The 16,512-nt window shown below is 37.0% G+C and overlaps 1 protein-coding gene across 9 annotated transcripts in view; it reads left to right on the top strand.

Moving 5' to 3' along the window:
* The window catches only part of OXSR1 (oxidative stress responsive kinase 1), a 91,422-nt gene that overhangs the window by 55,763 nt on the left and 19,147 nt on the right, over positions 1–16,512 (top strand). For 8 of the 9 annotated variants that reach the window (XM_011534331.3, XM_017007601.2, XM_024453851.2 and 5 more), the window contains 5 exons: positions 1,753–1,862; positions 3,987–4,088; positions 4,746–4,879; positions 9,862–9,910; positions 10,540–10,605. In XM_011534331.3, the coding sequence (XP_011532633.1) occupies positions 1,753–1,862; positions 3,987–4,088; positions 4,746–4,879; positions 9,862–9,910; positions 10,540–10,605 (461 nt within the window). Of the gene's footprint in view, positions 1–1,752; positions 1,863–3,986; positions 4,089–4,745; positions 4,880–9,861; positions 9,911–10,539; positions 10,606–14,739; positions 14,936–16,512 lie in introns of all 9 variants that reach the window. The other variant, XR_007095781.1, reaches the window with a different exon arrangement.

Consider the following 16,512-nt stretch of genomic DNA (forward strand, 5'->3'; position numbering starts at 1 on the left):
GAGAAAGCGTCTTGCTCTGTCACCCAGGCCAGAGTGCAGTGGTGCAAATGTAGTTCACTGCAGCCTCAAACTCGTAGGCTCAAGCAGTCCTCCTACCTCAGCCTCCCAAGTAGCTAGGGCTACAGGTGCCTGCCACAATGCCCAGCTAATTTTCTATTTTTTGTACAGATGGGGTCTCACTGTGTTGCCCAGGCTGGTCTTGATCTCTTGGCCTCAAGTGGTCCTTCTGCCTCAGCTTCCCAAAGTGTTGGGATTACAGAAATGAGCCACTGTGCCCAGCCAAGATTATTGTGTGTTTTTTTTTTATAATTCTAAGTGCATTCAGACAAGATTATTGTTTTTAAAACTGTACTATATAGACTTGCTATTTTTAAACTGTACTGTATAGACAAGCAATTATTTCAAATAATTGTTTGAAAATGGCAGAATTCATAGACTTCTGAATCTGGAATTTTAAAGTTTGCCATGCTAAAATTAGCCTTCTCACAATTGGGTTTTCTGTAATTTATTGTATTTTCAAATTTATTTCTATTTTCATAATTTCTATTTTATAATTCTGTTTTCAATTTGAAAATAGAACAAATTATGGACAAATACAGACTCATTTAACATAATGCAGAGTATTCTGGAATGGACACAAAACAAAAGGGGAGTCAGAAAAGGTGTATAAAAGTTGGATAAGGTGTGTAAGAGCCTCACTATATTAGTTAAAGTTCTTTTGGTTGTATTGGAAATTATCACTGGCTGACTTAACAAAGCAGAAATTTTTGAAATACACTAGGAAATACACAGAATAAAACAAATCTAGCCTCAGAATGGGCAGGAACCCAGTTGTGCTGGTGACCTTCAGGATGCTGTTAGCATGGCTCAGCTCCAGTGACCCTTAATTTCTTTGTCTTTCCATTCAAGCTTCACATTTCTAGGAGACTAATATAGGCCTACTTTGGATTAAGGTGTCTAACCCTGGCTCAAATCAGGTATGCCCAGGGATCAAGGTGAGGGAGTACAGATACACAACCAGGGCTATTTACAGAAAAGGGGGGATCATGGTGAGGCAGGCAGTCCTCCTCATCAGTGACTGGTACTTTGGCTTCAGTATTGTGGGACAAAATCTTTGTAGAGAAAATCCTGAGGCTTAGAGAGGTGAACTAAGTTTACCAATGTCATACATCTACCAAGAGGTGAAGTTAGGATATGTGTTTAGAATTACGAACTCTGATTTATTTGGGGCTGAGTTCTTGAGAGCTCTTTGAATACTAAGCTAAAAAGGTTGGATTTCATTCTGTAGGAGTTTCTGAACTGAAAGGGCCATGTCAAAGTGATAATTTAAAAATGAATGGATAAATGAATCTGATAGTGGTATGTAGAGTGGATTAGAGCAAGGGGGAAAATCTGAGAAGATGATGATATGTGGGGGTGGAGAGGAATGGAGTGAGGTACCTGCTAAGCTATGTCTTTTTTGTTTTTTTTGTTTTGTAAAGATGAGGTCTCCCTATGTTGCTTAGGCTGTTCTTGAACTCCTGAGCTCAAGTGAGCCTCCTGCCTTGGCCTCCCAGAGTGTTGGGATTATAGGTGTGAGCCACTGTTCCTAGTCTAAGCTATGTCTTAATTTAGTCAAGAAGTTCAGCAAAAAGATAAGAAACTATCATGCTTTTTATTTATATATAGGATGTTCACTACATTGTATTGTTTTCCTATTCATTTATGATAGTTGATGCACTTTAAATACCTTGCTGTTGTATTCTATTTCAGACTTTGGGGTTAGTGCTTTTTTAGCAACTGGTGGTGATATTACCCGAAATAAAGTGAGAAAGACCTTTGTTGGCACCCCTTGTTGGATGGCACCTGAAGTTATGGAACAGGTACCGTGTCTTTTTTTCTGTTTTAAATGGGTTAGGGCTTTGTTTTGAAACTGAAAAAACTTAATAGTGCTTGCTTTTCTTTGGCATACCAGGTTAGCTTTGGGAAACATGTCCCTGTTCCTTGGTTAGGATTTTAGTCCACCCTTGAAAAGAAAACAACAAAAACTCTCTAGAACTTTGCAAAGGATATATGAAACTCAGGAATAATATAATTGAGGTTTGTTTTAATAATTTTATTAGTACAAATTATACCAAATTTTACATATAGATTTATTGGTTTAATGATTTCTAAATTATGTCCAGTTTTGTTTCCTAAGCCTCCATATAGTTATTTCTAGTTCTTAATAGATGCTTCACATAAATGCCTTATAGGTATATCAAACTCAGTATGCTGCGAACCGAATTCATTTTTACTCTGTTTTAATCACCTGTATTCACCCTGTTGGTGAGGGAAGGATTCCCACTGTAAAGTTATGGGAATGGCTGAACATACAACACCTGACACTGGACAGATGAGATTGACAGCTGTCTATTAGTCACATATACTCACAGCCTAGGGGAGGAGGATAACTGCATGCTGTGCAGGACCAGCAGAGTTGCACTGAGTAACAGAATGAACGAGAAGGGGCTTTGGAGACAGGCTTTGTAGTACCAGCAGATTGCGATGCCCCTTGGTTTCCTTGAGAAGATAAGATTGGCTGACACGGAACCGAAATCTGCTTCTCAGGGGCAAGCAGGAACTGTACCTGGTCGTTTGATAAGGAGGATTGTTGGGCTAGGAGACATTATCTGCAAGAGCAGAGTGGGGAGGGGAACTTCTGCTTAGGTCTCTAGAGGCCCTTCAGTTTTACCAGATGGCAGGGCAGCACATACTATTGATCCTTAATTTTAGGTCTTACACACTACACACTCCCCAAACCTATTTCTCCTATATTGCTTAGGATAGAAAATTAAAATTTATAACCATGTAATGTGCTGGTGACAGTGTATAAGTAGAGAAATTTGGCAACATATTCACTCTAAAAAGTTTAAAAGTATTCACAACCTTCCTAACTTTTTCATTATAGAAATTAAGGTGATAATACCATAATACAGATCCTTTGGAAAACAAAAAAGCTACCCCACTACAAAACATTTTGTTTTGATTCTTTCTAGTATTTTACTGTTTGTAAAAGTTTCAGGACGTATGAGCAATTTTGTGTTTTTTTCCTCATGTTTTATCACAAATGTTTTTTATATGTTCACATAGAATTAATAAATATTGCTTTTAATTGACTGTAATTTTAAAAATATACCATACTTAACAGTTTCTTCACTGTTGGTGAACATTCAGTTTGTGTCTTTATTTTTTGTATTACCAAATATATTTAGATTTTGCCTACTTTATTTTATTGGTTTAAAGCTTATGAACACTTTCATTGTTCTTGGTACACATTAGAGGTAGCTTTTTTGTTTGTTTATTTTTAGAGACAGAGTCTTGCTCTGTCTCCCAGTCTGGAGTGCAGTGGTGCCATCATGGCTTACTGCAGCCTTGAACTCCTGGGCTCAAGCTAGCCTCCCGAGCAGCTGGACTGTAGGCATACGTCACCACTCCTAGCTAATTAAAACAATTTTTTTTTGTGGAGATGGGGTCTCACCATGTTGCCCAGGCTGGTCTTGAACTCTTGGCCTCAAGCCCACCTCATCCTCCCACCTCAGCCTCTCAAAGTGTTGGGATTACAGGCAAGAGCCACCGTGCCCCACCTCAGAAGCTAACTTTTTTTTTTTTTTTTGAGGTGGAATTTCACTCTTGTTGCCCAGGCTGGAGTGCAATGGCATGATCTCAGTTCACCGCAACCTCTACCTCCTGGGTTCAAGCGATTCTCCTGCCTCAGCCTTCCGAATAGCTGAGATTACAGGCATGCGCCACCGTGCCCGGCTAATTTTGTATTTTTTTTTTTTTAGTAGTGATGGAGTTTCTCCATGTTGGTCAGGCCGGTCTTGAACTCCCAACCTCAGGTGATTCGCCTGCCTCAGCCTCCCAAAGTGCTGGGATTACAGGTGTGAGCCTCCACCCTGGCCAGAAGCTAACTTTTAAAAGTCCTTTTATGCTGGTAAAAATAATCATGCAAATCTGTTTTGCAGGTCCGTGGTTATGATTTCAAAGCTGATATTTGGAGTTTTGGAATTACAGCAATTGAATTGGCTACAGGGGCGGCTCCTTATCATAAATATCCACCAATGAAGGTGAGGCTTGTATTCCAAATACTACCCCAGCTCAAGTCCCAATTCCTTTTCAGAGCCATTTGCCAGTCTTTTAATTTTTTTTTTATTGTGGTAAAATACACATAACATAAAATTGACCATCATCTTTAACCATTTTGAATATATAGTTCAATGGTATTAAATGCGTTCATCACGTTGTGCAGTTGTCACCACCATCTGTATCCAAACTCTTCATTTTAAAACTGGAACTCTATACCCATTAAATAGTAACTCTTGATTCCCATTCTTAGCCCCTTGGCAATCACTTTTTGTCTCTATGATTTTGACTACTCTCAATACCTCATATAAGTAGAATCACACAGTGTTTATCTTTGCATGGCTAGCGTAATGTCCCCAAGTTTCATCCATGTTGTAGCATGTTGAAGAATTTTCTTGCTTTTTAAGGCTGAATAATATCCATTGCGTGTGTGTGTTGAGAAGCTAACCATCTACAGCAGATTATTTACGTGAAATACACGTAATAACTCTGGGTTTTAAACAACTGATTCAGATATGAACTTACAGAAAATAAAATGTTTGTATGTTGGTCGGGGGGTGCCTGTATTGAAAAATCTTGACCACAATAGTTAAACTTTACTGAGTCATCACAAGTTTATAGTATATTGAAAATTCTTGCAGGTTTTAATGCTGACACTGCAGAACGATCCTCCTTCTTTGGAAACTGGTGTTCAAGATAAAGAAATGCTGAAAAAATATGGAAAATCATTTAGAAAAATGATTTCATTGTGCCTTCAAAAAGATCCAGAAAAAAGGTAAAATATGAGAAAAAGTCTACTTTTCTCTCTAATAAAACATTGTGAGAAGTCTAAGAATCACATACTCATATGTACAGGAAATTATTTTCAAAAGAACTAAATATAAACTTTAAAAAAGTATACAGAGACCATTATACTGGATTGGAAATGAATTGATTTCTGCCTTCTTTGTAGTATACAGTGTACCCTAAATAGTTCAGCTTTTTCCTTGTTAATTTCTTACAAAGTTGTACATTGTGAATTCTGTATTAATAAATGCCAAGTTAGTGGAGAGATTTGTTTTTAATTTGCATTTAAAATTTATAAATGAATGTCTTAATGCCATTTACAGTATTAATAAAGGAAAGACACATAGAAAATTTATATTTAGTGTAATAATCATACTTATTTCCATGTTAGAAAGATATTTTAGTAAGTGGACCAAAAATTCAAATAGCTTCCTTATCAATGTTAGACAGATTGAATGACAAGTGAGCAAATAAATAAGAACATCCGATATGTGTAACTTCATGAATTAAGCAGAATCGTAGAATGTTGGGGATCATTGAGTACAACCTTTTATTTTTGAGGTCACTTGATACTTAGTCATAGGAGTAGGACTTGAATCTCAAAGTCCTGATTCCTAACTTAGGGCTCTGTTCCTTCTGAATCTTATCTGTCTGTTTCACATATATATTCCACTCAGCTTCTTAGCACTGAGTTCTTTAATTTTTGTTTCTCTAAAGATCATTAAAAGGGAAAGACTTTGATGTTCTTGATCACATCTCTAGTGTATGTAATAGGGTTTCAGAATTTATTGTTGGAAATATTGGAAAGGGTAAGAAAAACAGGTAGCAAAATTTATACCTGTGTTTTTATAATTTTTTTTTTTCTGTTTCTGAGTAAACAGTTAAAAAAGACAGGAAACACTTTTCTTTTATCAAATTAGTTGGTTAAAGGAACAAAATTATCCTGTTACAAATACCTAGAAATGCCAGATAAAATCTATCCAACTTAAAGATTCTCAGATGCCAGAAATAATGAGGAAGCCCTAAGTTAAAGAAGAAATATTGTGAACTAATCCCATGGCTGTTTTCAGTGGGTCACTATTCATTCTGGTAACCTACTGATTTGGATTTATAACTCCCATGTGAAAACTGGAAGTGAGATCTTGGGTCCACCCAGTGGGGAGTTTGAACTGAGATTCTTCTTAAAGCTAAGAACTTCAGATGTCAGTATCCTTAGTAAAAGGATAGACAAGAATAAAAATTGTCATCACCAAGAGACAACAAAAACCTCTCCTGAATAATCAAGCCCTTCAACCTGGACATTCCACAGGTTTAGAGTCTATACTCCCTATGTTATCCAGGAACCCACAGGATTAGAAAGTTAAAAAAGCTTTACCAAATCAGTTTTTATTTTTGACGGAAGTAGTCACAGAGCTGCACTGGAAGAACACTTTCAAACTCTAGCTCCCATTGGATTCCTGAACATAATGCCCCACTGTAATAAGGTCACAATCCAAAATTAAGAAACACACAGTGAAACAATGCATTATGAACTAGTTAGCAGACACAAGCAGAAGGATTAGTGCTCCAGAAGATTTAGGTAATGCAGTGAAAATCTGAAAAGATACAAAATTAAGTATATTGAAAATAATTAAAATTAGAAGAAATCAGACCCACAAGAGAAGACTGTGACTATGACAGAAGAACCAAATAGCAATGCCAGAAATGAAAAATACAGTGATTAATGTTTAAAACTTTCCATGAGTGTGAGCTGGACTTGTTGACTCACTTCTGATGAGTAGAGTATGAAAAAGGAAAAATAGCAACTTTACAATGCACCTCCTCTACCCAATGACCAAGGTTAACATCACTATTAATAATACATTGATAAGACTGATATGTGCCTCTTGATATGGTGCAATGAGAAGGGCATATATATAACCTGTGAGGTATTCTTCCTCCAAATCCGTAACTTCGGTCTATAATGAGAAAACATCAGACAAACCCAAATCGAGGAATATGCAGCAAGATACCTGACCAGCACTCTTCAAAACTGTCAAGGAAGAGAGACTAAGAAACTGTCACAGATTGGAGGAAATTAAGAAGACGTGAAGACGGAAAGCAAGAGTATCCTATACTAGATCCTGGGACAGAAAAAGGACATTAGTGGAAAAACTGGAGAAATGGAATGAAGTCTGTAGTTTAGTTAATAGTATTGTACCAGTGTTGATATTTTAGTTGATTTCTTTATTATTATACTGTGGTTATGTAAAAGGTTCACAATAGCAGAAGGTGGTGAATGGCATGTAGGAACTCTGTACTAGCTTTGCAGCTCTTCTGTAAGTCTAAAATTATTATAAAACTTTAAGAAAACTGGAAGCTATAGAAAATCTATTCCAGTTTGTAAACCAAAATTAAACTTTGTTTAGAACATTGCTAAGTTAAAATAACACGCACAATGGACTGGTTAAACAGAACAACCAATAAAACAAAAAAGAGATTATTTACTCATCAAGTACCAGGCACTGTGGTAAACACTTAACATATATTGTTTAATTCTCACAGTAATCCTTTGAGGATAGCACTGTTATTTTCTTTATTTTACAAATGAAGAAACTGAATCACAGAGAGGTTAAGTAACCTTCTCCAAAGTCACACAGCTAATAAATGGTGGAATCAGAATTCTGACCCATGCAATTGGACTAGAGTTAACCTGTTTTAATCAGACTACACTATACTGAGGAAATTGCTCAGAATGTGGCACAGAAAGATCAAAGAGGGAATATGAAAGAAATATTAACATTTGGAGGGTAGACTGAGAAGGTTCAGTATGTTTGTGTGTATGCACATCCACACACACACACACACACACACACACACACACACACACACAAATGTACGTATACATATACATGAACTTACCAGGAAAGACTAGAGAGAGTATAGGAGAAGCGATATTCAAAGAAATAATGGCTGAGAATTTTCGAGAGTTGATGAAAGACCTATATTCTCAGAGTAAAGAACCATCCCCCCAGAATTCCAAGCAGTGTCCCCCTTCTTCCACTTGTACAAGTTGCTGTGAAACTACTGGACACGAAGCAAAGACAAACTCCTACAGGCAACCTCGGGGAACAGATTACCTACTGAGGATTAGCAGGTAGACTTGACAGCTACTTCCCCAATAACACAACAGTTGAGGCCAGCGTTTAGTGAAATGCTCAGAGAAAATGCAGTCATGTGTCACTTAAAATGATGAGGATACATTCTGTAATATGTGTATTAGGCAGTTTTGTCATTGTTTGAACATCGTGGAGTGTACTTACACAAACTTTGATGGTACAGCCTACTGCATGCCTAGGCTATTTAGTGTAGCCTGTTGCTCTGACTACTGTCAGATACACAGTATATTGTTGGCCAAAGCATTAAGAGGCTCATGACTGTGACTTTAACCCAGAGTTCTCCAGCTAGTCAGACTATCATTCAAGAATGAGCATGAAATTATTTTGCACACAGAAATTGAGTTTTCCAGTCACGTTCTGTCACTTAAAGAACCCATAAGTTGTACTTTAGAAAGAAGGAAATGAAGTCAGAAGAAAGGAATGAATAATAAGAAGCAATGTTGAGCAATCACATTGTTGAGCATATTGAGAAGCAATTGTTGAGCATATGAAAAAATAAGAGTGATAATGTAGGATTTCAGTTTGCATAGCACTTTCACATTTATTCAGCTTTTTAATCTTTATAATAATCATCTGAGGTGCTGGTTCTTAAACTTGAATGCCTATTGGAATTACCTGGGGAGTTTTAAACATTACTAAAGCCAATTAAAGATTCTGCTTTAATTGGTTTGAGGTACAGCCTGGTCATTGGTTTTGTTTGTTCGTTTGTTTGTTTTTGAGACAGTCTTGCTTTGTCGCCCAGGCTGGAGTACAGTGGCACAATCTTGGCTCACTGCAACCTCCGCCTCATGGGTTCAAGCAATTCTCCTGCCTCAGCCTCCCAAGTAGCTGGGACTACAGGCGCACGCCACCATGCCCTGCTAATTTTTGTGGTTTTTTTAGCAGAGACTGGGTGTCACCATATTGGCCAGGCTGGTCTTGAACTCCTGATATCGTGATCCACCCACTTTGGCCTCCCAAAGTTCTGGGATTACAAGCATGAGCCATGGTGCCCTCTGGTCATTGGGATTTTTACATTCTTCCCAGATAGTTCAATGCACAGCAGTGTTTAAGAACTTAGGGGCTTGGCCAAGTAATACTGAACCTTAGAGAGGTTGTGATTTGCTCAGGATCAGGTAGGTGTGTGGCAAAATCAGGTCCAGTCTCTTAAATGTTAAATTCTTTATTCTGAATGATACTCTTTTAAAAGCTTGTAAAATTGACAGTCGTGTCTTTACTTAAAAGGAAATAAGACCATGAAGAAATGAGTTAAACACTGAGTTTTGTTAAATTTGGGGAATATACTTTTAGAATTTTCATTTTTAAAGGGAGATTGTGAAATCTGTTTTTAGGGATCTGTGGTTACCTAAATTGAAGGCTGGCAGGCTACCATGTGGCAAGAAGTGGAGGTCTTGATTTGGTCCATTTCCTCTTTGTGTGTTTAAATATATTTTTATGCCTTGCTAAAAATGTTAGATAGATATTTTCTAGCTTACTTATTGGGAAATAATATTAAATATTAAATTAATATTATTAAATAGCAAATATATTAGACTCTATTAAGAAATCATGCTTCCAGAAAAAACATTTCACTAATGATTTTTTCAAAGAATCTACAATAATTATCAGAATATTTGTTTTGAGTTTTTTATTTTATTCAATGTCCTGTATCAAGTTTATTTTACTTTTGCTTTTTAGCAGTTTAAGGAAAGTAGAGTATACTGAGTTTTTATTTTGCTGTTGAAAAAAATTTTTTCTCATTTTTGATGATGGAATCTGACATTACACTTGAATTAATTATAAAAACTTTTCTTCCCTCCCTTCCTGGTTTTAGACCAACAGCAGCAGAACTATTAAGGCACAAATTTTTCCAGAAAGCAAAGGTAGGAAATTCCAGCTTTTGATTATGTGTGTTCATAGGATGCTCCTCAATTACTCAGATTATGTTCAGTGCTTAGAAGTTGGATGATTATGTTTGGAAAAATGATGGTAGATAAAATAATTGCAGAAAGCACTATGTATACAGTCTTTGATAATTAAGATAATTGCTTCAGAATTTAGTAAATCCGTTTTTAAATATTAGGTTAAACTGATCATAGGAACAATGATTATTAAATTTTGCCATTATAAATATAATTTGTGAAAAATACCGAACTCTGGTTTTAAGGTTTACTACTGAATTTGTAAACATCTCATTTCCCAAATATATCAGATAGTAGGATGTTACTGTAGTTGGAAATGTAGGACCATGATCTCAAAGAACATACAGTACAGCAAACTCTTCATAGACAGTGGTTCATACAGTGTACTACATCTTAATTTTCTGCCTCAATTTATGAAACTGTGGTAGTAACATACTAAAGGAGCTTCAGAGTGAAAGAATGAAAGTTTTTCTCACACTTCATTACAGAACAGTTACTATATCACATTTTGATTATGGTGAACTTTTTTGTGGGTTTTTTTTGGTACCTTAAAAACTTGTAAGAACAAAATACTTACTTTTCCTCTCCAGAATAAAGAATTTCTTCAAGAAAAAACATTGCAGAGAGCACCAACCATTTCTGAAAGAGCAAAAAAGGTAAATCAGAATTTAACTCAGTTTTCCTGAAGAATTTACTTTATTTTTGCATTTTGAAAACATGTTAAGTAATACATTGTTAATAGTATATGAGAATTACTGGTTTTCTGTCGATCCTTTCTAAAGCATTCTTTGATACATTCATTCAGCAAATATCTTTGGTCTACCATATGCCTTGGTATTACTCTGCTATCTTTTAGGATGAAAAGGGATGCTAGACAGTAATTGGTAAATTAATTCTAAACTCTGTTTGATAACTGTTTCCAGCTACCAGAGTGAGTTGTGATTTTACATGACATTTATAGCTTTGGGTATAAGTCACAGTACCCTCTTTGGAACTCCAAATTTTCTACTGCCTTTACAGAAAGACTGAAAGAACTTTATTACGCATATGTAATTTCTAAGAAGTTTGGTCATGATGTGAGCATACAGAATGCTTTAATATCTCAGTTTGGGCAGAATATATTAATCTTCCTGTCCATGATACTTTTATGAACCTCTGTGAGAGCAGGGAGAAGAAAATCCTCCCTTTTCCTCACTCTTACTTCTCTGCTCAAGCAGACTTATCCAATGTGAAGGAAAGGAGGCAGTTTGGGCTTCTGCTGATGATAGACTTGAAGAAGGTAAAGGTCTTACACCTTGTATAATATAGTGGTAGGCCTGTCCAAGAAGTTAGAAGCATTATGTCTAGCAGTGGCTTATTCTCTTCCGTAGATCTCACTGCTTGGGAATTTTGATACATTCCAAGAATTTAACACAATGAAGAACCAGAAATGTATATTAAATACTTGGAAATGATATTCTTAATAAGCACTGGTAAAACAGTTAACTTGTCTCTATTTTAGAGATATATCTTTTTCAGTGGCTATAATGCATCGTTACATATCAGAATCACTTGGGGACTTAAAAAAAAAAAGAAAGAAACATGGACAATGTCATCCCAAACCAATTAAAGTCATGACTCTAGTGGATGAGACCTGGACAATTATTCTCATGGATAGCTACTAGGTTAAAAACTCACTTGGCTCATTCCTTCACTTTATGTCAAGTCTACTCAATTGGCCTTTCCTCAGAATAATATTCTCTGATTACTAAAACAGTACCCTCCCATGACTCTCTATCCCTTTACCCTACTTATCACCATCTGACATTTTACAGTGTTTCTTTACCATTAGAATAACAGCTTAATGAGAACAGGGACTTTTTTTCATTGCTGTATCTTCAGTGTGCCTAGAATAGTTCCTGACACACAGGATATTCTTAAATAATATGTATATATTTTTATGCTTATTAATAATATGTATAAAATTTCTATGCTTATTATTGTTTATAATAAATCCCATCTGAGATACGTGTTGATTTATATCTGAAATCTGATTAATTTAAGAAGAGTAAGTTGGGTGCAGTGGCTCATGCCTGTAATCCCAGCACTTTGGGAAGCCAAGGCAGGTGGATCACTTGAGGCCAGGAGTTCAAGACCAGCCTGGCCAACATGGTGAAACCTCGTCTCTACTAAAAATACAAAACTTAGCCTGGTGTGGTAGTACATGTCTGTAATTCCAGCTACTCGGAAGGCTGAGGCATGAGAATCATTTGAATGCAGAAGAGGGAGGTTGCAGTGAGCTGAGATTGTGCCACTGTACTCCAGCCTGGGCGACAGAGCAAGACTCTGTCTCAAAAAAAACAAAAGAAGAGCGAGCCTCAGACCGGGGATATGGTGACTCACGCTTGTAATCCCAGCACCTGTGGGAGGCTGAGGTGGGAGGATAGCTTGATCGCAGGAGTTCAAGGCTAGCCTGAGCAACATAGTGAGACCCCATATCTATAAAAAGAATTTAAAAATTAATGAGCTATGGTGGCATACACCTCTGGTCCCGGCTATTCAGGATGTTGAGGTGGGAGGATCGCTTGAGCCTGGGAGGTTGAAGGCACAGTCAACTGTGATCATACCACTGTACTTCAGCCTGGGTGAATACCTGCATATATTTCCACCCTCCTGCCAAAAATTACCTACTAAAAGAACTGTTAAGAGAATAAAAAGAGATCAAGCACGGTGGCTCACGCCTGTAATCCCAGCACTTTGGGAGGCTGAGGCGGATGGATTGCTTGAGCTCAGGAGTTCAAAACCAGCCTGGGCAACATGGCAGACCCTATCTCTACTAAAAATACAAAAATTAAAATTAGCCAGGCATGGTGGTGCGTGCCTGTGGTCCCAGCTACTCAGGAGGCTGAGGTGGGAGGATTGTTTGAGCCTGCAGGGCAGAGGTTGTAGTGAGCCAAGATCATGCCACTGCACTCCAGCCCGGGTGACAGAGTGAGACTGTGTCTCAAAACGAAAAGAAAAAAGAGAATAAAAAGAAAAGGCATAAACCTCTAGTGGACAAAAAATGAGAGAAGTGAAAGCTGCAACCAAATTTTCAAAACTTTGATGCCCATAAATTAGTGGTAAAGGACTTGGCAAATCAGCAGACTATAATTGCTAAGCCAGTATTAAGAAAAGCTTGAAAGCTACCATATACAACAGAACCCTGAAAGGTAAGGGAATTAATAGTGCCAGGTACCTCCAGAAATGAGAGTGAAAGTAGGGCTAAAAACAGGAAGATTGGTTGACAATCTTAAGATAGAGTTAGACTCTGGTCCCTCCCCCACTCCATGCTGCACTCCAGGAGATGTCTGGAGGTTTATTCTGCAGAAGGGTAAAAGAAATGGTCTCTGAACTGAAGGACACCAGGCACAGTTAAACATGGGAATAACTTACTGAAAAGGGCATTTAAGTAATTGTTTACACATTGAATGTTAAGAATCTATCCATATCACTTCATTCAACTCCTGGAACATAAACATTAAGGCTTATTACCCCATAGACAAGACGTTGAAAAATCCTTATTTGATCAATCTGACTAGCCTAAGAGGAAAAACAGAAGTATTGACATTGGAGGTGGGAAATGCTCACCCACATCACTCTGCAGTGAAGCAAACTCCACCCACTTAAAAGCTCAGTGTTTCCAATCAGTGCTTTAGTTCCTTGCTCTTAAATATGAGCATAGATCTAGGATCACAGGATACCTCAGGGAAACCTCTTAATGTGAAAAATAGAGGTCAAAATAAACAGAAAAAAAGAGAAACTTACAGGAAACAGACTATATAGGAAGATAATTTAAATAAAATCATGACTGTCTTTAGAGATAAGAGTTTATATTTGCCAGGAGTGGTAGCCCATGCCTGTAAATCCCAACACATTAGGAGGAGAAGTCAGGAGGATTGCTTGAGCTCAGGAGTTCTAGACCATCCTGGGTAACAAGGCAAGACCCAGACTCTACCAAAAAAAAAAATTAGCTGGGCATGGTGGCATGTGCCTGTGGTTCCAGCTGCTCAGGAGGCTGAGGCAGGAGGATCGCTTGAGCCCAGGAGGTAGAGGCTGCAGGGAGCTGTGTTCGTGCCACTGCACTTCAGCCTGGGTGACAGAGCAAGACCCTGTCTCAAAAGAAAAAAAAAAAAGAGTTTACATTCACAAAAAGTGAACATGACACTGTTAAAGAAGCTTTCGTGCCATGACAATTCAGTGAAGACTAAAGAATCATCATCTTCAAATGGCCTTGGTACAACTGAATATTCACATGCAGAAGAATGAAGTTGGGTCTTTTACTCTCGTCCTACAAAAAATTAACTCAAAATGGATTGTTGACCTAAATATAAGAGCTAAAGTTATAATACTGTTGGAAGAAAATATAGCTATAAACCTTTGGGAATTTGAGCTAGGCAAAGCTTCCTTAGATATGATACCAAAAATACAAGCAATAAAAGGAAAAAGTAGGTAAATTGATTTTATCAAAAATTAAGACTTTTGTGCTTCAATAGACGCTGGCAAGAAAGTGAAAAGACAACCTACAGAATGGGAATAATTATTTGCAAATCATATATATGATAAGGGACTTGTATCTAGAATATATAAAGAACTTTTGCAACTCAATAATAAAAAGACAACACATTTTTAAAAATGGGCAAAGGATCTGAATAGAAACTTCTTGAAGATACATAAATGGCCAATAAACACATGAAAAGATACTCAGTATTATTAGCCATCAGAGAAATGCAAATCAAAATAACAAAGAGATACCACTTCACACCCACTAGGATGGCTATAATCAAAAAGACAGTAACAACTGTTGGTAAAGATGTGGAGAGATTGGAACACTTCTGCACTGGTGATGGGAATGTGAAATGGTGCAGCCACTTTGGAAAGCAGTCTGGCAGTTCCTCAGAAGCCTAAACAAAGTCACCAGGTGACCCAGCAGTTCTACTCCTAGGCACACGCCAGAGAATTGAAAACGTAAGTCCACACAAAAATGTGTACGCTGCTCATAGCAGCATTATTCGTAATAACCAAAAAGTGTAAACAACCCACATGCTCATCAGCTGATGATTAGATTTATAAAATGTGGTATATTCATGCAGTAGAATATTATTTGACAATAAAAAGGAATGAAGTACTGATACATGCTATAGCATGGATGACCCTTTCAAACATTATGCTAGTTTAAAAAGCCCATCACAAAAGACCACATGTTGTGTGATTCAATTTATGTGAAATGTTGAAAATAGGCAAATGTAAAGAGACAGAAAGTAGATTAGTGGTAACTTAGGACTGGGGGTTTTGGAGAGAAATGGGCAGTTACTGCTAAAGAGTATGGCATGTCTTGTAGGGAGTGATAAAAATGTTCTAAATTTGATGGTAGTGATGGTTGCACAACTTTGAATATACTAAAAATCATTGAACTGTATACTTTGAGTGGTTCAGTTGTATGGTATATGAATTATAAGGGAGCTTTTAGAGAACCAGGACCAGTACCAACAAAAAGCTTTTGGAAATTGAAAACAGAAGAAATGAAAAATTCAATATAAAGGTTGAGGAAATTTCCCAGAAAAGAGTTCAAAAGGCCCAGATATAGATAACAAAAAAGCTGAGATTAGAGGACCATTTGAGAAGGTACAGCATTTGAGTAAAGAGAATTCCAGAAAAGGAGAACTGAGAAAAACAGAAGAAAGTAAATCATTGACAAAATAATTCAAGAAAAATGTCCAAAACTGGATGGTCAGGAATTTCCAGATTGAAAGAGTCTTGAGTACTCAGCACAATTAATGAAAATAGACTAATGCTGACATACATTACCATGATAAGTCAGAATACTGGAGGCAAAAAGAAGACTCTGTAGTCTTCCAGGGAGGGGGGAAATGTCACAGACAGGATCAGGAGTCATGATGACCTCAGCAGCACTTCTGGAAGCCAAACAATGAGGCAGTTTTCTTCAAAGGTATGAAAGAAAATAATTACTGATGCAGCCTTTTCTTTTTTAACCAAACAATGAATGAAGTGTGAAGATGGAATCAAGATAAGTTCAGAAATGCATGACTTTAATACATGCTAATAGTGGAGATGGTGCTTAAACTAAAAACAGAAGTCATGTGATCCAGGACGCACAATCCTCTGGCTGATGGTAGAATTTGATCTGAAATAGGAGACATGCTGTGAAACCAGTCTAGGATGGAACAGATCAGGAGGTTCTGGTGAGAGTCTTCTTCAAGAAGATGATACCGACAGAATACCCATTTGAATGTGGTAAAAGGAGTTATAAACAGCTGAGAGAATAAATACTAACTACAGGGGAAATAGAAGTGGTAATGTATGATAAGGTTCAGCTCTGAATATGATATATATAATCATGTTATGTAAACATTGAATATTGATCTAACCAAAATTATAGTGTATCTTGAGAAAAGAATAGAGATTTCATAACAGAGTTAAATTTTCATCTTCTATGTGGGAAGTCCTACAGATAACTCCTAAAACCAAAAAATCAGTGAATAATGATAGGAACACATGTTCAAGAGATGAATGTCCAAAAAAGA

Source organism: Homo sapiens, chromosome 3 (genome assembly GCF_000001405.40).
Source record: "Homo sapiens chromosome 3, GRCh38.p14 Primary Assembly".
Taxonomy (NCBI): domain Eukaryota; kingdom Metazoa; phylum Chordata; class Mammalia; order Primates; family Hominidae; genus Homo; species Homo sapiens.